This window comes from Homo sapiens, chromosome 3 (genome assembly GCF_000001405.40).
Source record: "Homo sapiens chromosome 3, GRCh38.p14 Primary Assembly".
Lineage (NCBI taxonomy): Eukaryota > Metazoa > Chordata > Mammalia > Primates > Hominidae > Homo > Homo sapiens.
Window position 1 is genome coordinate 40,146,202 of NC_000003.12, and position 25,156 is coordinate 40,171,357.

The window sequence follows — 25,156 nt, forward strand, 5'->3', positions numbered from 1 at the left end:
TCATGTTGGCGTGGTAGTGGCATTTTTGCAAGGATCGTCAGGGAAGGCCTCCCAAGGGAAGTGATATTTGCACAAAGGCCTGAATGAAGTGTCGGATTGAGCCTGAGACTATCTGTGGGGAACTGTTTTATAGGCAGAGGGAACAGCAAGATCAAAGCCAGTGTGAGCGTGTTTGTTAAAAGACAGTGTGAACATTGTATGTACTGAAAGACACATGTGCTCAGGAAAACCCATTTGTGGCTTTTTCTCTTCATTGAAGTCAGTAACAATTTAAAAGGGGCACCTCCCCACTGCCACCATCACTGTTTCCTGGCCACTCCAGTTGGCTGCCCTGCTGCTGCCCCACAGCCCCTGTCTGCTAAACCTTGTGGGAAGAGGGAGTTCATCCTCCCTGTTGAAAAATTTGGTCTCTCATTGCTGCTCTGGCCCTGGAGCCCCTTCAGCACCAACAGCTTTAGACTGACCTCTCGGTCCCTGCCTTCTCTGTGTGCCTGCATGAATACACACACACAAATGCACACACACATGCATGCACACACATACACATGAGCACATGCACATTTGCATGCACGTATGCACACACACACACCCCACCACAAGTTCCAGGACCCCTCCCAATCTCTGTGTAGGCTGATTACAAACCACCTTGCATGGAAGTCTGAAAGAACACTCATCTAATGTCAGGTTCCAGTAGTAGAACTTTGGGTAGTTTTCTGAATCTTCTTTTGCCTGTTTTTATTTCAGTTTTTATAATAATACATGTACTTGGTTAAAATAAATTCAGACAGTAAAAGATATTAAAAGGATTTCAGATCCCCAACTCCTTGCCAAGTCCCAGTCCCCCAGGGAATCACATTTAAACATTTCTGGGGGCTACCATAATAATCCTAAATAATATGTTTATCTTGCCACTTATTGATTAGTCAACTTTAGACTTTAATGAATAGTTCACTTTTTTCCTATCTCCTTACCTTCTCCTTGGAAGTTTTATTAAAACTTTTATTATATGCTGGCGACCTCTATGACTTTAACTAGCATATTGAAACCATTATCTTTGGTATATATACCTTACACAGTCTGTCTTGACTGCATTCTGTAAGATTTTGACTCCATTCTGCAAGATGGGGAAATTAGCATCTCTGAACTACCCTCATCATTCCTCCTTCTCTTTATATCCAGACTTCTATCAGGCTATCAATGATTTTTAATTTTTCTTTCAATAACAAATGCACATGTCTTGACCGTGTGATCATTTTATACTTTGTCTATAAATAGGGTGAAAATTAAGTAGTTTCTAAATTATATAAATATTATCTTCTAGAGACCAAAGTCATGACTTGAAATTCATGGAGAGAAAAAAAACTGTTATTCTTGGCTATAACACTTGGGCTACTTGAAAAATGGGTCATCATCTTTCTTCTTCTACTCAGTTAGTTTACAAAATCATACAACTTTTCATTTGCTTCATAGTTAGACCATATTTTCTTGAGCTGTTTTTGGTTTTGGTTTTGATTTTCTGAAAGCTTCTAATAGCCTTTCCTTATTCTTGTTGACAGAACAAAGACGTGGCTCCTTCTTCACCATTTCTCTTCATACATGTAGATTCTTAATTATATACTTATTGAATGCCCCATTTGGGCTGCCTACCTTCCAGATCTGCTGCATCAAATCCTGGGACTTCTCTTCATTGTACTCCTGGGACAGTTTCCTTCTTTTTAGAGTCCCAAGATCCTCTTTCTTGGATGGCTTTTAGTTCTCCTGGCATACACCTTGAGAATTCTCTTTTCCAGAAAGCAATCTTACATGTCTGAAAATGTCTTTATTTTGCCCTCTTGTGATGATGGTTTGGCTGAACATAGAAGTCTAACTTCATGCCATTTATTCTTAGAAAATCTATGCTCTACTGTCTTCTAGCATTCATTGTTATTGATTACAAATTTTAGCATCATTATTTTTATCCTTTTGCAAAGTATTATTTTTTTCTGTGTGAAGCCACTAAGTTCTCCTTATCTTTGAGGATCTGAATTTTCATGAAGATGTAGCAAGGTAGGTTTGTCTGCTTTATTTTGTTTTATGTTCCATTTGTTGTTTAGGCAATTGGTAGGCCGTCTTAACCTAAAGACTTTTCCCTTTCTTAGCTTGGGGAAATTTTCTTCTGTTATGTCTTTGATTTTTTCCCCTCTTTCATTTTCTCTTTTCTTCCTTTTTGGAATTCTGTTAGATGCTAGACCTCCTGAATTGATCCCCCATGTCTCTTTTCTCTCATATATTCCATATTTTTGCCTTCTTATTGTACATTCCAGAAAATGTATGTTGATTTTAACTTTTAGGTCTTCTATTAAATTTTTTATTGATCCTGTTTTCTATTTCCAATAAGTTGTTGCTTATCTTCTACATATATTTCACATCACCCTAGCCTGTTGCATGGATGCAGTATCTTTTCAAATCATTATGGACATTAATTAGAGTTTAAATTACTTTCAATATCCTGAGTTATCTTTCTTTGCCCTTTGTTACTTGTTGTTAGTTTATCTTGACTCTTTTTTCTTTCTTCTTATGCCATTGGATTGTTGCAAATGTCTGGTGATTTCTTGTCATCTATTCATATTTTTGAACAAAGGACTTAGTTGGTGAATAAAGGTAACCAACATGGGCCTCCTCTGCCATTGGGTAGATAAATATTCCCAATAGACCTCTCTTTTGAAAGGAGTTTAGGGCTGAAAGGTGGAGGTGCTTACTGAGAGCTCCAAGTTTGTGAGTTAGGCAGGCAATTGACAGGCTTTGCCTTGGTGTACGTGTATGATATCTGATGGGCAGGCATGTAGGGACTCCCCCAATGCCAAACAAGATAAGCTTCTTCCGTATTAGTCCATTTGTGTTGCTAGGAAGGAATACTTGGGGCAGGGTAATTTATAAAGAAAAGAGGTTTGTTTGGCTCATGGTTCTACCATTACAAGAAGGTGCCAGCATCTGCTTCTGGTAAAAACCTCAGGAACCTTTTACTTATAGCAGAATGCAAGGGAGCCTGTGTGTCACATGGTGAGAGAGGGAGCAAGAGAGAGGGAATGTTGTCACACTCTTTTCAACAACCAGCTCTTGAGTGAACTAATAGAGTGAGAACTCATTACCACAGGAAGGACACCAAGCCATTCATGAGGGATATGCCTTCAAAGCCCAAACACCTTCCACCAGGCCCACCTCTAGCATTGGGGATCACATTTTAACATGAGATTTGCAATTGGGACAAATATCCAAACTATATCAGCTTCACTGTATGGTGTTAATCTCCATACTGAAGTCTTAAATCTGAAGTAGATTGTTCAACTTCAATAGAGAACCACTTTATCTTTTGGGCCTAAGACCAATCATCCTCAGACCAATTGCTCATTTGTTAGGGTGTAGGGATGGGGGACCAAGAGGCCTCATTATTGTCTACACAACCATTAAATTACCTTTCTGAGTACTGTCATAATCCAAACCTGCTCTCTGAATCAACCAACTCAAAATTGGGCCTTCCAGTTAGAGTCCAAGCTCTTCCATCTGTTCTGAAGTACATGGTTCTTTGTTACCTTTATGCTATCATTGCCAAAATCTCTGATTTTGCTCTCACCCCCATTCCTTCCTTGTATAGATTGTTTTTTACCTTTGGATATCTTCTCACATTTCACTGGGGTCTGGAAAAGAAGAGCAACTAAATGTGGGATTGTTCTTCCATTGAATTGGAAGCCTTTATATTCTTGTTGGTTTTCTGAATTTTCTAGAATGAGTGTGTATTATTACATTTATAATAAGAAAAATAAGAAAAGCAGCTGTTTTCAAAATAGAAAGGCTTTAGAAATTTGTTCTCGTCAGGCATAAAAGAGAAGAATCTTGTCTTTCTTTTTTTTTTTATTTATTTTTAGATGGAATCTCACTCTGTCGCCCAGGCTGGAGGGCAGTGGTGCTGTGGTGCTGTCTTGGCTCACTGCAGCCTCCACCTACTAGGTTCAAGCGATTCTCCTGCCTCAGCCTCCCGAGTAGCTGGGATTACAGGCATGCGCCACCACACCCAGCTAGTTTTTGTATTTTCAGTAGAGATGGGGTTTTGCCATGTTGGCCAGGCTGGTCTCAAACTCCTGACCTCAAGTGATCCACCTGCCTCGGCCTTCCAAAGTGCTGGGATTACAGGCATGAGCCACAGCACCCAGCCTGAATCTTGCCAATGTTTTGTACCAACCATTATAGCATTAACCAGGAAACTACTTTCCCAGAGTGCTTCAATCTGAATGAGGAAGAGGCTGGAGAATTTTGCTATCTTCCTTGTGCTTTTTATTTTTCCAAGATGAATTAGAAATGTTGTTAATACAGTAAGAATATTAAATATAAAGCCTACTATTAAATGCCCTGAAACTTCATGGTTTAAAATGTCAAGCATTTATTGGCTTGCTCTTTGGAGTGACTCAGTGGATGGTTCTCCTGGTCGCATCTAAGTTCACTCATGTGTCTCCAGTCAAACTAGTGGCCGATGGCTTCTTTCACCTATCTGGGAGTTGGCCGGCTATTGGCTGGGGCAAGAGGGATGATTGGGCCAAGTGTCTCTCATCACACAACAGGCTAGCTTGGGCTTACTCACGTGATAAAGGTTGTGGGATTCCCAAGAGCAGCAACAGAGGAAACTGCAGGGCTCAGGATTCACACAACATCACTTTCACTATTTTCTATGGTCAGAGAAAGTCACAAGGCCCGCCCAGATTCAAGGGGAATAAACTTCACATCTTGATGGATGGAGCTGTGAAGCATTGCAGCAGTTTTGCAATTCACCATTTAATAATTCTAATTTTGTGTTGTCTAATTCTGTTTTCCTCAGGCTTCTGAGGGCCCAATCTCTGGAATGGTTCTACAATAATGTGAAGAGCCGCTTCAAGCGCTTTGGCAGTGCCAAGGTTCTGAAGAACCTGTACAGGAAGCACCGGCTGGAGAGTGGCGCGTGCTTCGACATTCTAGGTACTCTCACTTCCTGCCGCTCTGGGAGTCTTTGGTGGGCTGGTGGGTAGAAGGCCTGGCTCAGGGGCCCTGAACACTGGAGCACACTCACCTGGGACAGATAAATTTGCTTAAATATCTGGCACCAGTGAGAAGCAGAAATAGAAGGACGGATGCCAGAGATTCTGCTAAGTTGTGACTCTTTTGGTTCCAGCGTCCCCACTGGGCTAGAGCTTATAAGTTAGAAGCTATGAAGACCAAGTACTTCTACAAATTGTGATTATTTTAATCTCAGATCAAAAATTAGGTATTCTTGATCATCATCCCTTAATGATTAAAACGTTGGAAAGTCATTTGCCCTTGGCTACAGAGAGAGTACATCTGTCCCTGGAGGGCATGCCTTCTACCTTCCTTTCTTCTTACTCCAAACTTCTGTTCTTATGGCCCAGAAGGTGATGTAGTGGGAGAGTTAGAAAAGTGTCAGCTTCCTCCCAGGAAACTTGAAGGATGAATTTTACCTATGCTGTTTTTATACAGTTAAGATAACCAAGCTACTTGGAATGGGAAATTATATTCTTTAGTCCTATTAGATCAGCCAGTAGAAAAGAATGGTAGTCAGAATATGGACAGCATGCCTTCCAAAAAGGCTGTTTCTTTCTATCTGGTGGCAGATTTTTTTTTCATCACTTGGCTAACACAGGTAAATGCTTTTTATCCATGAGAAACAAGGAAGAAGAAAAAACCTCATTCATCTTATTTGGAGTTTTTTCACCATCATTATTTTACATTGTTGTTTTCTCAATAAAGTCTTTGGTTGTATCTTATCTAAAAATATGTCAGCCACTTAGACAACGGGGAAAATAGAATGGAGGCACTAAACATGGAGAATCATTAGGGTCTTTTGTTGTCATTATTAGAATTTCTGTCTTTCAAACTGCTCAGGAAAGCTATAGCTAAGAGAGCAGTGCCGAAGGTTTCCACATATTATGTTTATCACCATTTCAACAATTTCTCTAAATACTCTGTAGGAATGGAGGCAAAGAAGAAATAAAGCTTCAAAGTCATACTGTTAGCAGTTTTACAGCCCAGAGAGATATCTCAAGAAGGTTTATGAATAGAATCGGCTCACTCATTTGCATCCCATCCTCTTTTCCTCTCTTGTACATCCTCGGGTATGCTGAATATGCCCCTTTAAATGTCACCAAATTCAGATCTCGTAGGTGTTCTTTACCACTTAATGCACATTGAGGAATAAAGAAAACATGTGGAAAACCCTGTAGAATAGAGCAGAATTTTTATTTCTTTCCCCTTCTCTCTAAGTCTCCACAAGTGGAGAAAGCAGGCATGAATCCCAAGTGGGCTAGTGCAGGGCTTTGAAATTTACAAGGATCACTTTCAAAGGAGAATTCTTTGCTAAGAATAAATATCTGCCCTGATTGAAGCAGCTTTAGGTGCTGGGCCCTCTGTGATTCACCACTTTATTCATCTGAGTCTCAGTCACAGCACTTATCACATATCACATTGCATTCAGGATTACACAGCTGCCTCTCCTGCCAGACTGTGATATGCAGGTGGTAGCTTGTTTATCTGTGTTCTCAAAGCGTGGCTCAAGGCCTGGCACATCTTATATCCTCATTATTGTACTAGTTCAACCTTAAAAGCATTTTGTGGGGCCAGGCATGGTGGCTTATGCTTGGAATCCCAATACTTTGGGAGGCTGAGTCAGGAGGGTCACTTGAGACCAGGAGTTCAAGACCAGCCTGGGCAGCATAGCACAATCCTGTCTCTACCAAAAAAAAAAAAAAATTAGTCAGATGTGGTGGCATGCACCTGTCCTTTGAGCTACTTGGGAGACTGAGGTGGGAAGATCACTTGAGCCCAGGAGGTTGAGGCTGCAGTGAGCCATGATTGTGCCACTGCACTCCAGCCTGGGTGACAGAGCAAGACCCTGTCCAAAAAAAAAGCATTTTATGGATACCAAGACACTTCATAGAAATATGGGAATCAGTTGCTTTAATACTATTTGTATCTCCATTTAAGTCGAGATTTCTTTTGGAGAAACATGAAGACAAGCAGACAGGAGACAATTTATGAGATGGTACTCAAACATATAAAGCCATGGTCATAAAACAACGAGATCTATTCTACAAGCTACACAGGAAATTTAGTTAGACTTCAAGTATAGAGAAATCTTCCAGGGCCTAAGTAGCCTCCTGGTTGTGTGAGAAGACTCAAGAGTCCTTCATTAGCTTTTGCCTGTCACCCAATACCCTTTGTAGGTTTGTCATCTGCCATCCTCAATTCATGACTACACATTAGAATCGCCAAGGGCGCTTTGAAAAAAAACCTTCCAATACCCCAAATCATTGTCCACCCCCCATTAATTACTGCTGAATTTTTGGAGGTGGGATCCAGTATACATATTTTTAAAAGCTGCCTGTATTATTCCAAGGTACAGCCAAGACTGAGAACAAGGTCCTCAGCTAGAACTCAGAGTAATTAGTTCAGCAGTGTTCTTCCAGCTCTATCTAATGGTACTTATTTTCAGAATGTTGATTGTCAGAACATGATATGCAAAATCTGCAGTGCACAAGGCATGTGCTATGCTCCAGGACTCTCAGTGTAAAACTCCTTTCACCTACAGAACGTCTTCACTATGCGGATCACTGTAGTTTGCCATAAAAACACTCAATTCAGGCCGGGCACAGTGGCTCTCGCCTGTAATCCCAGCACTTTCGGAGGCTGAGGCAGGCAGATCACAAGGTCAGGAGATCGAGAATATCCTGGCCAACATGGTGAAACCCCATCTCTACTAAAATACAAAAAATTAGCTGGGCATGGTGGCACTCACCTGTACTCCCAGCTACTTGGGAGGCTGAGGCAGAGGAATCGCTTGAACCTGGGAGGCGGAGGTTGCAGTGAGCCGAGATTGCACCACTGCACTCCAGCCTGGCAATAGAGTGAGATTCCGTCTCAAAAAAAAAAAAAAATTCATTGAAGATTCCTTCAATTCACACAGTCTCACGTATCACCCATCACATACACACCTCGTACTGCCATCAGTTCCTCAGCAGTGCTCCCAAGCGAACCTTTCTCCTTCTCCTGCAGCTCACAGCAGCTGACCAGATTAGGCCTAAAAGAAAACTTGTTTTATCAGACAAATCTAAGATGTATTCATTTATTCAGTAAATATTTACTGAACACCTACTATGTGCCCATCTGGCTTAAGAGTTGGGGGTGATGAAATGAGCAAGACCCTGCCATTTCAGAGCCAAAACTCTAGTGGAGAAGTCAGATAAGTAAGTACATTTATAAATAAAATAATGTCCAAAGGTAACGAGTGCTCACATGGCTTCTCTAATAGACCCAGCATGACTTTTTTTTAAATTTAATTTTATTTTAAGTTCTGGGATACATCTGCAGGACGTGCAGGTTTGTTACATAAGTAAATGTGTGCCATGGTGGTTTTCTGCACCTATCAACCCATCACCTAGGTATAAGCCCCACATGTATTAGCTATTTATCCTGATGTTCACCCTCCCCCTGCCTTGACAAGCCCCAGGATGCATTGTTCCCCCTGCTGTGTCCATGTGTTGTCACTGTTCAGCTGCCATTTATGAGAACAGAGAACACAATATGACATTTTTAACAGTTATCCTAAAAGAAGCACTACATGAAAAAGGTAAAAGTTGCCATTATTAATATACTTAATCTTCAGACAATTGGATAAATAATATATGCTTTATTTAGTGTTAGATAAATAAATGGGAAAAATAAACCTTGCTTTTATTATCATTCTATATCTAATTTTGTTTTTATTTTTATTATTTTTTTATTATTATTATACTTTAAGTTTTAGGGTACATGTACACAATGTGCAGGTTAGTTACATATGTATACATGTGCCATGCTGGTGCGCTGCACCCACTAACTCGTCATCTAGCATTAGGTATATCTCCTAACGCTATCCCTCCACCCTCCCCCCACCCCACAACAGTCCCCAGAGTGTGATGTTCCCCTTCCTGTGTCCATGTGTTCTCATTGTTCAATTCCCACCTATGAGTGAGAATATGTGGTGTTTGGTTTTTTGTTCCTGCCATAGTTTACTGAGAATGATGATTTCCAATTTCATCCATGTCCCTACAAAGGACATGAACTCATCATTTTTTATGGCTGCATAGTATTCCATGGTGTATATGTGCCACATTTTCTTAATCCAGTCTATCATTGTTGGACATTTGGGTTGGTTCCAAGTCTTTGCTATTGTGAATAATGCCGCACTAAACATACGTGTGCATGTGTCTTTATAGCAACATGATTTATAGTCCATTGGGTATATACCCAGTAATGGGATGGCTGGGTCAAATGGTATTTCTAGTTCTAGATCCCTGAGGAATTGCCACACTGACTTCCACAATGGTTGAACTAGTTTACAGTCCCACCAACAGTGTAAAAGTGTTCCTATTTCTCCACATCCTCTCCAGCACCTGTTGTTTCCTGACTTTTTAATGATTGCCATTCTAACTGGTGTGAGATGGTATCTCACTGTGGTTTTGATTTGCATTTCTCTGATGGCCAGTGATGGCGAGCATTTTTTCATGTGTTTTTTGGCTGCATAAATGTCTTCTTTTGAGAAGTGTCTGTTCATGTCCTTTGACCACTTTTTGATGGGGTTGTTTGTTTTTTTCTTGTAAATTTGTTTGAGTTCATTGTAGATTCTGGATATTAGCCCTTTGTCAGATGAGTAGGTTGCAAAAATTTTCTCCCATTTTGTAGGTTGCCTGTTCACTCTGATGGTAGTTTCTTTTGCTGTGCAGAAGCTCTTTCATTTAATTATATCCCATTTGTCAATTTTGTCTTTTGTTGCCATTGCTTTTGGTGTTTTAGACATGAAGTCCTTGCCCATGCCTATGTCCTGAATGGTATTGCCTAGGTTTTCTTCTAGGGTTTTTATGGTTTTAGGTCTAACATTTAAGTCTTTAATCCATCTTGAATTAATTTTTGTATAAGGTGTAAGGAAGGGATCCAGTTTCAGCTTTCTACATATGGCTAGCCAGTTTTCCCAGCACCATTTATTAAATAGGGAATCCTTTCCCTATTGCTTGTTTTTCTCAGGTTTGTGAAAGATCAGATAGTTGTAGATATGCGGCATTATTTCTGAGGGCTCTGTTCTGTTCCATTGATCTATATTTCTGTTTTGGTACCAGTACCATGCTTGTTTGGTTACTGTAGCCTTGTAGTATAGTTTGAAGTCAGGTAGTGTGATGCCTCCAGCTTTGCTCTTTTGGCTTAGGATTGACTTGGCGATGTGGGCTCTTTTTTGGTGCCATATGAACTTTAAAGTAGTTTTTTCCAATTCTGTGAAGAAAGTAATTGGTAGCTTGATGGGGATGGCATTGAATCTGTAAATTACCTTGGGCAGTATGGCCATTTTCACGATATTGATTCTTCCTACCCATGAGCATGGAATGTTCTTCCATTTGTTTGTATCCTCTTTTATTTCCTTGAGCAGTGGTTTGTAGTTCTCCTTGAAGAGGTCCTTCACATCCCTTGTAAGTTGGATTCCTAGGTATTTTATTCTCTTTGAAGCAATTGTGAATGGGAGTTCACTGATGATTTGGCTCTCTGTTTGTCTGTTGTTGGTGTATAAGAATGCTTGTGATTTTTGTACATTGATTTTGTATCCTGAAGACTTTGCTGAAGTTGCTTATCAGCTTAAGGAGATTTTGGGCTGAGACAATGGGGTTTTCTAGATATACAATCATGTCATCTGCAAACAGGGACAATTTGACTTCCTCTTTTACTAATTGAATACCCTTTATTTCCTTCTCCTGGCTAATTGCTCTGGCCAGAACTTCCAACACTATGTTGAATAGGAGTGGTGAGAGAGGGCATCCCTGTCTTGTGCCAGTTTTCAAAGGGAATGCTTCCAGTTTTTGCCCATTCAGTATGATATTGGCTGTGGGTTTGTCATAGATAGCTCTTATTATTTTGAAATACGTCCCATCAATACCTAATTTATTGAGAGTTTTTAGCATGAAGCGTTGTTGAATTTTGTCAAAGGCTTTTTCTGCATCTATTGAGATAATCATGTGGTTTTTGTCTTTGGTTCTGTTTATATGCTGGATTACATTTATTGATTTGCGTATATTGAACCAGCCTTGCATCCCAGGGATGAAGCCCACTTGATCATGGTGGATAAGCTTTTTGATGTGCTGCTGGATTCGGTTTGCCAGTATTTTATTGAGGATTTTTGCATCAATGTTCATCAAGGATATTGGTCTAAAATTCTCTTTTTTGGTTGCGTCTCTGCCCGGCTTTGGTATCAGGATGATGCTGGCCTCATAAAATGAGTTAGGGAGGATTCCCTCTTTTTCTATTGATTGGAATAGTTTCAGAAGGAATGGTACCAGTTCCTCCTTGTACCTCTGGTAGAATTTGGCTGTGAATCCATCTGGTCCTGGACTCTTTTTGGTTGGTAAGCTATTGATTATTGCCACAATTTCAGATCCTGTTATTGGTCTATTCAGAGATTCAACTTCTTCCTGGTTTAGTCTTGGGAGAGTGTATTTGTCGAGGAATTTATCCATTTCTTCTAGATTTTCTAGTTTATTTGCGTAGAGGTGTTTGTAGTATTCTCTGATGGTAGTTTGTATTTCTGTGGGATCGGTGGTGATATCCCCTTTATCATTTTTTATTGCGTCTATTTGATTCTTCTCTCTCTTTTTCTTTATTAGTCTTGCTAGCGATTTATCAGTTTTGTTGATCCTTTCAAAAAACCAGCTCCTGGATTCATTTATTTTTTGAAGGGTTTTTTGTGTCTCTATTTCCTTCAGTTCTGCTCTGATCTTAGTTATTTCTTGCCTTCTGCTAGCTTTTGAATGTGTTTGCTCTTGCTTTTCTAGTTCTTTTAATTGTGATGTTAGGGTGTCCATTTTGGATCTTTCCTGCTTTCTCTTGTGGGCATTTAGTGCTATAAATTTCCCTCTACACACTGCTTTGAATGCGTCCCAGAGATTCCGGTATGTTGTGTCTCTGTTCTCGTTGGTTTCAAAGAACATATTTATTTCTGCCTTTATTTCGTTATGTACCCAGTAGTCATTCAGGAGCAGGTTGTTCAGTTTCCATGTAGTTGAGCGGTTTTGAGTGAGATTCTTAATCCTGAGTTCTAGTTTGATTGCGCTGTGGTCTGAGAGACTGTTTGTTATAATTTCTGTTCTTTTACATTTGCTGAGGAGAGCTTTACTTCCAAGTATGTGGTCAATTTTGGAATAGGTGTGGTGTGGTGCTGAAAAAAATGTATATTCTGTTGATTTGGGGTGGAGAGTTCTGTAGATGTCTATTAGGTGTGCTTGGTGCAGAGCTGAGTTCAATTCCTGGGTATCCTTGTTGACTTCCTGTCTCGTTGATCTGTCTAATGTTGACAGTGGGGTGTTAAAGTCTCCCATTATTATTGTTTGGGAGTCTAAGTCTCTTTGTAGGTCACTCAGGACTTGCTTTATGAATCTGGGTGCTCCTGTATTGGGTGCATAGATATTTAGGATACTTAGCTCTTCTTGTTGAATTGATCCCTTTACCATTATGTAATGGCCTTCTTTGTCTCTTTTGATCTTTGTTGGTTTAAAGTATGTTTTATCAGAGACTAGCATTGCAACCCCTGCCTTATTTTGTTTTCCATTTGCTTGGTAGATCTTCCTCCATCCTTTTATTTTGAGCCTATGTGTGTCTCTGCACGTGAGATGGGTTTCCTGAATACAGCACACTGATGGGTCTTGACTCTATCCAATTTGCCAGTCTGTGTCTTTTAATTGGAGCATTTAGTCCGTTTACATTTAAAGTTAATATTGTTATATGTGAATTTGATCCTGTCATTATGATGTTAGCTGGTTATTTTGCTCGTTAGTTGATGCAGTTTCTTCCTAGTCTCGATGGTCTTTACATTTTGGCATGATTTTGCAATGGCTGGTATCGGTTGTTCCTTTCCATGTTTAGTGCTTCCTTCAGGAGCTCTTTTAGGGCAGGCCTGGTGGTGACAAAATCTCTCAGCATTTGCTTGTCTGTAAAGTATTTTATTTCTCCTTCACTTATGAAGCTTAGTTTGGCTGGATATGAAATTCTGGGTTGAAAATTCTTTTCTTTAAGAATGTTGAATATTGGCCCCCACTCTCTTCTGGCTTGTAGAGTTTCTGCAAAGAGATCCGCTGTTAGTCTGATGGGCTTCCCTTTGAGGGTAACTGGACCTTTCTCTCTGGCTGCCCTTAACATTTTTTCCTTCATTTCAAGTTTGGTGAATCTGACAATTATGTGTCTTGGAGTTGCTCTTCTCGAGGAGTATCTTTGTGGCATTCTCTGTATTTCCTGAATCTGAATGTTGGCCTGCCTTGCTAGATTGGGGAAGTTCTCCTGGATAATATCCTGCAGAGTGTTTTCCAACTTGGTTCCATTCTCCCCGTCACTTTCAGGTACACCAATCAGACGTAGATTTGGTCTTTTCACATAGTCCCATATTTCTTGGAGGCTTTGCTCATTTCTTTTCATTCTTTTTTCTCTAAACTTCCCTTCTCACTTCATTTCATTCATTTCATCTTCCATCACTGATACCCTTTCTTCCAGTTGATCGCATCGGCTCCTGAGGCTTCTGCATTCTTCACGTAGTTCTCGAGCCTTGGTTTTCAGCTCCACCAGCTCCTTTAAGCACTTCTCTGTGTTAGTTATTCTAGTTATACATTCTTCTAAATTTTTTTCAAAGTTTTCAACTTCTTTGCCTTTGGTTTGAATGTCCTCCTGTAGTTCGGAGTAATTTGATCATCTGAAGCCTTCTTCTCTCAGGTCGTCAAAGTCATTCTCCGTCCAGCTTTGTTCCGTTGCTGGTGAGGAACTGTGTTCCTTTGGAGGAGGAGAGGCGCTCTGCTTTTTAGAGTTTCCAGTTTTTCTGCTCTGTTTTTCCCCATCTTTGTGGTTTTATCTACTTTTGGTCTTTGATGATGGTGATGTAGAGATGGGTTTTTGGTGTGGATATCCTTTCTGTTTGTTAGTTTTCCTTCTAACAGACAGGACCCTCAGCTGCAGGTCTGTTGGAGTACCCAGCTGTGTGAGGTGTCAGTCTGCCCCTACTGGGGGGTGCCTCCCAGTTAGGCTGCTCGGGGATCAGGGGTCAGGGACCCACTTGAGGAGGCAGTCTGCCTGTTCTCAGATCTCCAGCTGCGTGCTGGGAGAACCACTGCTGTCTTCAAAGCTGTCAGACAGGGACATTTAAGTCTGCAGAGGTTACTGCTGTCTTTTTGTTTGTCTGTGCCCTGCCCCCAGAGGTGGAGCCTACAGAGGCAGGCAGGCCTCCTTGAGCTGTGGTGGGCTCCACCCAGTTCGAGTTTCCTGGCTGCTTTGTTTACCTAAGTAAGCCTGGGCAATGGCGGGCGCCCCTCCCCCAGCCTCGCTGCCACCTTGCAGTTTGATCTCAGACTGCTGTGCTAGCAATCAGCGAGACTCCGTGGGCGTAGGACCCTCCGAGCCAGGTGCGGGATATAATCTCCTAGTGCGCCATTTTTTAAGCCTGTCGGAAAAGCGCAGTATTCGGGTGGGAGTGACCCGATTTTCCAGGTGCCGTCTTTCCAGGTGCCACCCCTTTCTTTGACTAGGAAAGGGAACTCCCTGGCCCCTTGCGCTTCCTGAGTGAGGCAATGCCTTGCCCTGCTTCGGTTCGCACACGGTGCGCACACCCACTGACCTGTGCCCACTGTCTGGCACTCCCTAGTGAGATGAACCTGGTACCTCAGATGGAAATGTAGAAATCACCCGTCTTCTGCGTCGCTCACGCTGGGAGCTGTAGACCGGAGCTGTTCCTATTCGACCATCTTGGCTCCTCCCTCCCCTCTATATCTAATTTTGACATGATTCTTGAAAAGGTCTGTTGCTTCATCTGGGATTTGTTGGACAAATGTGGTCTTTTAAAAATGCTGAGCCACATGAAATTAGAGTTTCTGCCAACTCATGAAAAATAGTGGCTTCATGTCATCTAGCTGCTTAGCCCATGCTTTCCAGAACAATTCAGTCCCTTTCTGCCCTTGAAAAAACATCACATCATACTAAATGACACCAATGCTCCCACCTCCAAATTTAAAAGGAAACAGAAAGAGAGGTGTTGTACTAGAAGATTTAAAGTCATGCAAAACCAGGGCTTGTCCTCTGGTGAGGTCAGTCTTCCAAAGACTTTTTCACATCTCCCCTGTCCTTATGTTTCCCACGACCCTCCCCATCCTCTCAGCAGGCAACCTCAAATCTTCCTTCCTATGGCCTACAGGGCATGCCAGGCAGAGACTTGCCCTGGTGTGCAGCTGCAGAGGGAGCACTGTCTCCCTTCTCTGTTGCCTCCCCCTCCCCTTGGTCTTGCATCTTATCCCTCTCACCTTCCAGAAAAGTCTCAAGGTCACTTCTTGCTTATTCAATCTCTGTCTTTACTGGGATTTATAAACACACCCAAGTCTCTCCTGTTTTCTAAACCCCTCCTCGACTGCATTTTCCTCCACTCATTGTCCTGCCATCCTCTTTCTCACCGCAGGTCAACTTTAAAAAGTGAGCTGCATTCAGGGCTTCCATTGCCTGCCCTTCCTCACTCTACACTCACCTCCCCCTTCCAAGCTATTCTCTACGCAGTAGCCACAGTGCACTTTTAGAGGCACAGATCTTACCAGGTCATCTCTGTGAAACCTTTAAGGGCTTCACATGGCTGTTGGGATAAAGATCCAAACACTGATGTGGTCACCATGAACTGCATGGCCTGTGTCCCCAGGTCACCTCACCAGAGCTGCTTTTCCTCTCTGCAGCCCTGCCACGCTGCCTCTCATTTAGGCCTTCAGATACACCTTTTCTCCCAGGACTGGTCTCTGTGCAAGCTGCTTCCTGTGCCTTGTATGTTCTCCCACTCCCTACACCTCTTGGCTGATTCTTCACTGCTTAGGTCCGCCTTCCCTGCTGAACACTTTCACTGTGCTGTGAACCATCCCATCAAAGCACTTAACCTATCTATAATTTTATATATATATATTTATATAAGTATTTGATTAATGAATTTCCCACATGAGAGTCTCATGCTTGTCAGGGTGGGGTGGGGGCAGGTTTAGCTTTGCTCATCAGTGTACCCCTAATACCTAGGCCAAAGCCAGACACCTACTGGTGCTCATAGACTATTTGCTGGATGAATGAATAAATTCCAGATGCAGCCATGCCAAGCCACACAACTAGTAATTTGCAGGTCCAGGAATTGACCTTACATCTCTCAGACTTTAGTCTTTTGTTCTGTCTTTGACTCCATATTGCCTGCAAAGAAGGTTTGGGAAGAAGGTTGGGGTTGGCAGCAATGCTGCACCAGGAATCAGTGTGAGAAGAAAAAAGCAATGGGTCAAAACTGTTAGCATTATTGTGGGACCTCATGAGTCCCTAAACCTATTTGCAAGGCTAACAACCCAAGTGTGTAATAGTGGTCTGCCAGTTCAGTGACACAGTGCATCAGGGTTCACTGAAGACCTTTGATAATCATATTCATTCTCTTCTCCCACCCCTACCCTGCCAGGAGGAAGCCTTTTTGAGTCAAACCTGGAGAATGAAGGAAGCATTTCTGGCAGTGATTCAACATTTTATAGGCAGTCAGAAGGTAAAGTTGCTTAAGAGTTTACAGCTACTGGGAAGTTGGAGTAATAGAAACACCTACAGGTACAGGTACTGCCAGGGTCCCCCAGATGCATTGTTACCCCAGATGCAACTATCTACTACTGTGTGTGAGTCTCCCTGGGTCACTTATTATTGCCAATTGTATGAATCCATCATCAAAATAGGTGAGTATATCCAAAATGTGGCCAAGAGAACAGCATTCGTTACCCAACCATGGATACTTTACAGTCAACTAGTAAATATTCTTCTGGAGTTGGAACATATCAATCAATCCACTCACTTGTGCATCTCATATTAAAATATTCCTTTAAAGAATGTGTCATTTACTGATTAACTTTTACTTTTTTATACCAATATAATTGTCCCCTTAGAGCAGTGGTTAAAAGCAAAACAAACTTCTAATTTCAAATAAAATTTTATCATTTCAATTCTTTGTCTAAAGTACTGGACATTGATAATCAGTGCCCCCTCAATTGCCTTCCTCCTGTGACCTCCACAGCTTATCTGTACTCTCTATTCTCTCTTTGGGGGCTGTGATAGTTAATTTTATGTGTCAACTTGACTTGGGCTAAGGGATGCCCAGATAGCTGGTAAAACCTTATTTCTGGGTTTGTCTGTGAAGGCATTTCTGGAAGAGAACAGCATTTGAATCATAGACTGAGAAAAGAAGATCCGCCCTCATCAGTATGAGTAGGTGTCATCCAATCCATTGAAAGCCCAGATAGAACAAAAAGGCAGAGGAAGGGTGAATTCACTCTCCCTCTTCTGGAGCTGGGACATCCATCTTCACCTGCCCTCAGACATCAGAGCTTCTGATTCTTGGGCCTTCAGACTCAGGACTTAAACCAGCAGCTCCCCTATTCCACAGCCCTTCACATTTGGACTGAATTATACCACTGCTCTTATGGGTCTCCAGCTTGCACACAGTATATCATGGAACTTCTCGGCCTCCTTAATCACATGAGCCAGTTCCCATAATAGATCTCCTATTTTATATCTATATATATCCTATTGGTTCTGTTTCTCTGAAGAACCCTAATACAGATGACTTCTCATGAAAATTGTGTCCTGTATTATCCTTACTACCTGCAGCTTCTCCATAGGTTACCACACACCATTGTATGACCTCAAGTGCACCTCCATTTGCTGCTGAGCCGGAAATGCCCAGCCTTGATCTCATCCCAGAGTTCTACACTCAGATTTCTAATGCTTGGCCATTAGCACCTGAAGATCTTATAGGGTTCTTAACCCCAACTTGTCCTAGTCAAGCTCTTTAGCCACTGAGGTCCACCAGTGAGAGATGTTTCCTTCAGTCCCTCTCCTCATTTCCCCACAGCTACCCAAGTACCTGTCAGCTCTGTTTTCAATCTTACACTTTTCTTTCCATTCCACAGCCCATATCCTGCATACCTCTCTGCTCAAAACTCTCCGGATTAGTGTTAATTTCAGTGGCCATCTGTATCAGCAGTGTTCTCCAATACACTAAGTATATATGTATGTACATGCACATATATATATTCCTTTCAGGGGACTGGCAAGCCCCAACATACAGGGTAGGCCAGCAGGTTGAAAACTCAGGCAAGAGTTGGTGCTTCAGCCTTCAGGCTGAATTTCTCCTCTAGGAAACTTCAGTTTTTGCTCTTAAGGCCTTTCAGTGGATTGAATGAGACACACCCACATTGTGGAGGGCAACCCTTACATGAAGTCAACTGACTGTAGATGTTAACCACATCTAAAGAATACCTTCATGGCAACACCTGGACTAGTGTTTGATTAAATAACTGGGTACTATAGCCTAGCCACGTTGACACATTGACCATCCCACCATCTAGCTGGTCTTCTGAACTTTGGCCACCTTGCCTTCTTAATCTTCCCTCCTACCCTTGCCAACCTTTCTCTCTGAAACACTGACCTGAACCTTCACTTTTTACCCAGTGTTCCACATCACTTTCATCCAAGAATTATAATCATAGCATCCAAAGCCTTCCTAGTTACAGCTCCAGGTGCCTACCTTCCAGGGATCCACACAGATATCTCTATCACACAGATAGTTATGCATATCTCTTAGGGGTTACTTATGTGTCTAATCACCCAATATCTTGGAAGGTACATGAGAGCATGGACTCAGTTTGTCCATCAGGTTATCACTGGGGCCATCACAGAGCCTAGCACACAAACGGTACTCAGTAAACATTTGTTTGATTCAACAAAAATTTGTAGATCTTTTCTGTGAAAAATACATCGGTGGCTATCTTGAAGAAGAGAGAGGGGAGATACAGTGTCTACCACCAGGGAGCTCTTAGTGTGATGACAACTTATATCGCATAGGCTCTAGTTATCAAAACATTGGAAAGACTGTGCAACCTGGTGGTGTGCAGAGCCCTGGGCTGGGTTGCCCCTACGTGGCTCTATCATGACTGTCATAGCTGGCTTGTGACATACTCATCAGCTAGCTAGATCACTTTGACCTTAAGTGGATTGTTTAGAGGCTTTATTATGTTTGCCAAATGATACTTTCTGTCTACATTTTTGTCCTTAAGAGCCTAAGAAGCTTGAATTATTTTTTAATTGAGTAATTAATGAATTGATATATTCACACCCTGTCTCATTCCACAAAGAATTTTCAACAGCTTACAGGAGATTTGCATGTGTTAAATAATATATGAGTAGGAGATTATAAATGGAAACAGGAGGTTGAAATTGGGGACAAGGAGACCCAGGTACCTAGCCCTTGCTGACCTACATTCCTGCACATGATGTGACTTGGACTTCTGGGGAAAACTAAGAGAAGGATGATAGAAATTCTCACAAGTAAGAAGCTAAAATCTAGGATCTCAAGGGAAACAGAACTTTTCCCAGCACTTAGCTCCAAAAAGAACTTTGTCACCTGGGGAAGTCCTTTATTTTCTCTCATTTGTTGCCATATCTTAAAAAAAAAAAAAAAAAGTTCACTAAAAGTATGGTAGCACTATATTTTTTAATCACGTTAGCTTGTATTCATCTCAGTTTTGTGGTTAAAATCAAGGGCTTTGGATTAGAAGGAATTTGGAATGGAATCCAAATTCAAATTCAGAGGAATTGGAATCCAGCTGGATTCAAATCTTTGCCTTCTTATTGTCTTGCTGTGTACCTTGGGTGAGTTATTTAACCACTCTGTGCTTCAAATTTACCATCTGTAAAATAGTACCTATATGGCACCTACTTACCACTGGATTTTTGTCAGAATTAACTGTGATCATGTGAAACTCTGGGCTTGGTGCCTGCCATGTGGCTGAGCTCTGAGGTTGGCCAGTGTTGTTAATACTGGTTGATAGTCCAAAAAATTATACCATAGAGTTTATATTTGCATTAAGTCATATGCACAGCCCATTGTCCTTAGTACATTTAATAACATTTTCCCCATCATCACAATATACATTATATGAACAAAATAAAGCATAATCTTTATCTGAGAAAGTAGATAAAGAACCATTATTTCCTTATATGAAGCCCTTTTGTTCAGTCACCTTTAAGCCATTCTGTGTGCTTAGACCAGTGCTTCATGTTAGGATACAACAATGAATATGATCAATTCTTGCTCTGTGAAAATGACCTGTGGGAAGGGGCCGGGGGTATGGAGCCTTTTTGGATGATGAAAGCAAGCCCAGAACCTGGGACAGACCTCCAGCCAAGGGCGGGGCTGAAGGGATCCGAGAAGATTTGTTAGAGGAGGAATTTTTGGGCCAAGCCTTGGGGTCCGTGGGAACCAGCTCAGTTATGGAGCAAGAGTCTAGGAGGGAGGAGGAATGAGATTGCAGGCATGAAAGAATCAAACAATTTGTTGCAACTGGGGCATGGGATGTGAATGATGCATGGGAGGCAGTGTGAGGCAGGTGGGAAGGGCGAGGGCTTTGTGTGCCATGGTAAACAGCTTAGAACTTATCCCAGAGCCCCTGAAGAATTTAAGCAGAAGAGCTTGAACAATCGTTTTACTCATCATTCCCTTTTAGAAATGCTCTTTGTTCTGTTTCCTGTCTAGGACATAGTGTGATGGACACCTTGGCTGTGGCCCTACGGGTGGCTGAAGAGGCCATTGAGGAAGCAATTTCCAAAGCAGAGGCATATGGGGACAGCCTGGTAGGGCCCCTCCTGCTCCTCTCTGTGGGGGGAGGTGTGGGTTGGGGTCCTTGCTGCCAGGAGAAAGTGCAGGTTGTCAGGAAATCAATGTCCCAGCAGCTCTGACTAGAGCAAGGCCCTCCCTCTGCTTTTGTGGTCAGGACTCTCCTGGCAAAGTGACTGCCAAGTCACCCCAAATCCACCCACAGCACACAGCCATTCTCTTCCCTCCTCAGGACAAGCAAAATGAGGCCAGTTACCTGCGGGACCACAAGGAGGAGCTAACTGAGGAACTGGCCACGACAATCCTGCAGAAGGTAGGTGGGTCCTGGCAGTGGGATGGCTGCAGTTTCCTGGCTGGGCCTGGTGCAGGGACTCTGGCAAGTAGCAGGTGAAACATGGGGAGTGTCTCTAGCACTGTATCTTCTGTGCCTTCTCACTTTAGACTTTTGTGCCCTGGGGACCCATGCAGAGGGAATGCATCGCACTGCTTGCTTGCTTTGCAGTCACTGCTGCTAGCTCCATGCCCTACGCTGTCCCTTGCATGGTGTACCTGTCAATTACTTCTGAGAAACCAAACACCCCAAAACTCTGTGGCTTTTGACAAGGATCTTTCTGTCTTCCACAGCCAATTCTCCAACACCAACTGAGAAGTGAAATTCCATTCTGATACTAACTTCTTCCTGGAGTTAGTGCAGACCCCACAAGTTAAGGGCCCAGTCCCACAAGACTGCCCCTACTTCAGACACCAGCCACAAGTTTCAGGTATCCCAAAGCCACCACACTTCTCCCTAGCCTGCTGCAAATTTGGGAGTTTCCATGACCGTGGACCCTCAATTCAATTATTTGCTAGAACTCACAGAACTCAGGAAAGTGCTTTACTTACCATTACCGGTTTAATATAAAGGGTACAGGTGAACGGCCAGATGAAGAGACACACAGAGCAGCAGGGTCTGGGGACAGGGTGTACAGAGCTTCCATGCTCTCTCTGTGAACATCACTCCCCCAACACATCGATGTATGCACCAACAAGGAAGGTTTCTGTGCCTTGTTGTATCAGAGTTTTTAGCCAGGTTTCAGTATGTAGGCAGGATTGATTAAATGATTGATTACCTGATTGAATGCACTCTCTAGTCTTTCTGCTCCCAGCCCTCTAATCATGTACTGTAGTTGGTTTTTCTGGCAACCTGCCCCCATCCTGAAGTTATCTAAGGACCTCACCTTGAATCACCTTGTTAGTGTAACAGACACTCCTATCACTCAAATAATTGCAAAGGTTTTTGAAACTGTGCCAGGAACTGGGGACAAAGACCAAATACAGATGCTCCTGAGCTTACAGTGGATGGGGTTAAGTCCAGATAGTAACCGCATCCTAAGTTGAAAGTATCATAAGTCAAAATGCATTCAATACACCTAACCTACTCTTAATATATCATAGCTTAGCCTAGCCTATCGTAAATGTACTCAGAACTTGCATTAGCCTATAACTGGGCAGAATCATCGAACTCAAAGCCTATTTTATAACAGTGTTTATTAGCTCATATAATTTATGGAATGCTGCACTGAACACACACCGCTTTCCCACCATCGTAAAGTCCAAAAATCTTAAATCAAGGACTATCTGTATATATGTTTTGTTATACCACAATTTATTTATTGCTCACACATCTGCAGTAGCTGCACTTCAAGCTATGGGTTGGGACAAAGTCAGGTGCAGCATGTTCACTCTGGGGCCCAACTGAGGGCACATCAGCTGCCTGTGGCCATGACAGGAGCACAAGCCAGCAAGAGGAAGCACACAGTGCTTGTTAAGGCCAAGGCTTAGCTCTAGCTTATGGTTACTGACTCCCCCCTCTCATCTCATTGGCCAGAGCAAGTCACACATCGAGCCCAAAGCCAAGGGCTGGGACGTAGATTCTCCCTATACTGGGAGGGTCTGCAGAGTCACACTAGAAAGTGCCGTATGCAGGAAGTGTTGAAAAACTTCAGTCTTCCCTTTTGGTCACGATAATTCACATCCCTTCCGTATGCCAAGTAGACTCACCACACCCAAAGACCCCCAAATGTCTCATCCAATCACAGTTCAAAGTACATTTGATCCAATTTTAGCTCCTTTTTAGCTGGAGATCTGTAAACTAAGCAAACAAATGATCTCCCCCCATATACCCAACATGCAATGTTGGAAGAGGGACAGGGAGGCAGCACTGGCCCTACCCACCTGCAGAGGGGAAGAATGGGAGGCACCGGCAGTCACTGGTCCTCAGCAATTCTGAAATCCTGCTGGGCAACATGGCTGGGTCCCCACCCTGCCATGGGAGATGGCACCTCAGTTGATTGTTCTCTGGGCTCTCAGCCTTCCTTTTCATCCTCCTGTCTGGCCTAAAGGAACATTGGAGAATATGCCCATCTTGGTGGCTTAGCACATTTCTTGACTGCTTCCTGCCTATAGGAAGTTGAAAGCCCAGAGACCTTGGTACGGATGGACTCACTAAATCCAAATGACTGTGCAAACGAGCTGGATTTGGAGCCATTCTGGTGACTCTTGGTGTCTACACCCTTGATAGGGCTTCCAGATGCTTCCTAAATTCAGGACTTACAACCAGAGGCTCTGGGTTTGAGATCCAGCTCCACCATTTATGAGCTGTGTAGCCTTATCCAATAACTTAGTCTCTCTGAGCCTGTTTCCTCATCTATAAAATGGAAAGAATTAGAATATGTACCTTCCAGAATTAAGTGAGGTAAAGCCTACACAATACCTAACATGAGGTCTGACACATGCTAGGCACTTAATAAATAGAGAAGCTGTTAACATCATAAAAGGATTATTTGTAAACTGTAAAATGCTTAGAATGCTCAAGGCTATAATTGTGCTGGTTTCTCATAGCGCAGATCTGAAACAGCCTGGTGTTCTGTTGAAATTAAGCTTATAAGTGGCTGAAAAAAATTCCAAAGATGGTCCCAGTTACTCCACATAGCATCAGGAGGCCTCTCCAATAACTTGCCCCTTTTTTGTCCTCCCCTCCCCAGATTATACGAAAACAGAAGAGCAAAAGTGAGCAGCAAGTGGAAGAAGAGCCAGGATGGCCACATCCCCAGAGTTGCAGCACAAAGGTGGCAGATGAGGGGACCTCAGCATCCCCTGGAGGCTACCGTGCTCCCGCTGCCCTCTGGGTGAGTCCCCAAGCAGTGCTGGTCTACCCTCCACACGTGCAGGTCTGGGGCACACATTTAACCCTCTGTAGTTGAATCAGGTGGCCACTGGCCAGGGTAAAAATTTCAGAAGGATGGGGAGCGAAATTGAAAGAGAAAGTGAGTGTGAGTCGGGGGCCAGGAAGGGTAAGAGAGGAGAGAAAAACACAAATGGTCTATTGATAATTATAGAGATAGATTTTACACAGAGACCAATTTAGGAAAAATACAAATGCTGATAGGCTGCATTTTTTTTTCATTCTGAAAAGAATTATACTGAGTCCAGTGGGGGAAAATAGCTTTATAAGGACCATGTGTACTCTTATAACCTAGATTGCTTGCTTTACTGAAACTGAAAAGTGACAGCGAGAAAATTACCACTGCTGTTTCAACCACCAAAATGGTCACATCTGGACACAGGAAGTCACAGTGTGGAGCCAACCTTTCTGTCTGTCACCTTGAGTCACAGAGCTCAGTGGTCTTTCCACAACCAAGGGTTTGGTGCTGTTCCTGTCTGCAGTAGAGTTGCTGAGTCTGTCACATCCTTTGTTACTGGTTTGAGTAAGCCCAGTTGAGGATATGCAAAGTGCTGGGGAAGGAGCTGGGTGGGGCAGGTTCTGCAAGAAACTGAGGGACTGGCCAGTAGGGCTCTGGTTCTGCTAGATATAGGTGCTCACAGTCTGGGACAGGGCAGCACACAGGTGCACTTCAAAACTGGAAAGTCAGGCATGGGAAAGGCAAGGCCAGGGGCTTACCCCATCCCCACTAGGGGTCTAGTGGCATTCATCCCTGCATGAGCAGATTAAAACGAGGGCATGCAAAGTAGCACATGGTCGACTTGCAGTCCACAAGGGATCAGCATAGGTCACCTACATAAACTCCTTTGTCCTCGCCAACTGCCAGATGCACAACGGTTACAAGGAGTATCTTTATGGCTTTATCAGAGATGAAACTTCATTGATTTATCAGCAGAACCTTTCCTTGTCAACGTGCTGTCAGCTTGTTTTACTGCTGCTGTCATGCATATGCTCAGCACCAAGGAGAACCAAACAAGTAGAAGACGCCATGCCCACCGTCCAGAGCTTTATAATCTGGTTAGCAAGGCAGGAGGGGACACGGGTAAGGCTGGTAAAAAAGAGGTAATAGGAGACAGTTCATAATTGGGTGCTGAGTTGAAAGATTGAGAATAGAAATGGATTTGGAATTCAGACAAGGGGCCTTTCCAGCAGAGAGTGGAAAAGGATCC

General features: G+C 42.7%; 1 protein-coding gene across 7 annotated transcripts in view, besides 2 other annotated features; it reads left to right on the plus strand.

Moving 5' to 3' along the window:
* Positions 1-25,156, plus strand: part of MYRIP (myosin VIIA and Rab interacting protein) — a 451,408-nt gene that overhangs the window by 337,288 nt on the left and 88,964 nt on the right. For 6 of the 7 annotated variants that reach the window (NR_104316.2, NM_001284423.2, NM_015460.4 and 3 more), the window contains 5 exons: positions 4,847-4,983; positions 16,529-16,609; positions 20,645-20,742; positions 20,958-21,038; positions 23,749-23,892. Coding sequence is in view for 6 of the 7 variants with exons in the window: in NM_001284423.2 (NP_001271352.1) it covers positions 4,847-4,983; positions 16,529-16,609; positions 20,645-20,742; positions 20,958-21,038; positions 23,749-23,892 (541 nt within the window). In the remaining variant the exon portion in view is untranslated. The remainder of the gene's footprint in view (positions 1-4,846; positions 4,984-16,528; positions 16,610-20,644; positions 20,743-20,957; positions 21,039-23,748; positions 23,893-25,156) is intronic. The other variant, NM_001284425.2, reaches the window with a different exon arrangement.
* Positions 24,407-24,456: an enhancer, noted in NCBI's record as "active region_19709". NCBI's record gives its function as "activates an Ori minimal core promoter by ATAC-STARR-seq in GM12878 lymphoblastoid cells {active_cell/tissue: GM12878}" and the evidence as "EXISTENCE:reporter gene assay evidence [ECO:0000049][PMID:35858748]".
* Positions 24,497-24,546: an enhancer, noted in NCBI's record as "active region_19710". NCBI's record gives its function as "activates an Ori minimal core promoter by ATAC-STARR-seq in GM12878 lymphoblastoid cells {active_cell/tissue: GM12878}" and the evidence as "EXISTENCE:reporter gene assay evidence [ECO:0000049][PMID:35858748]".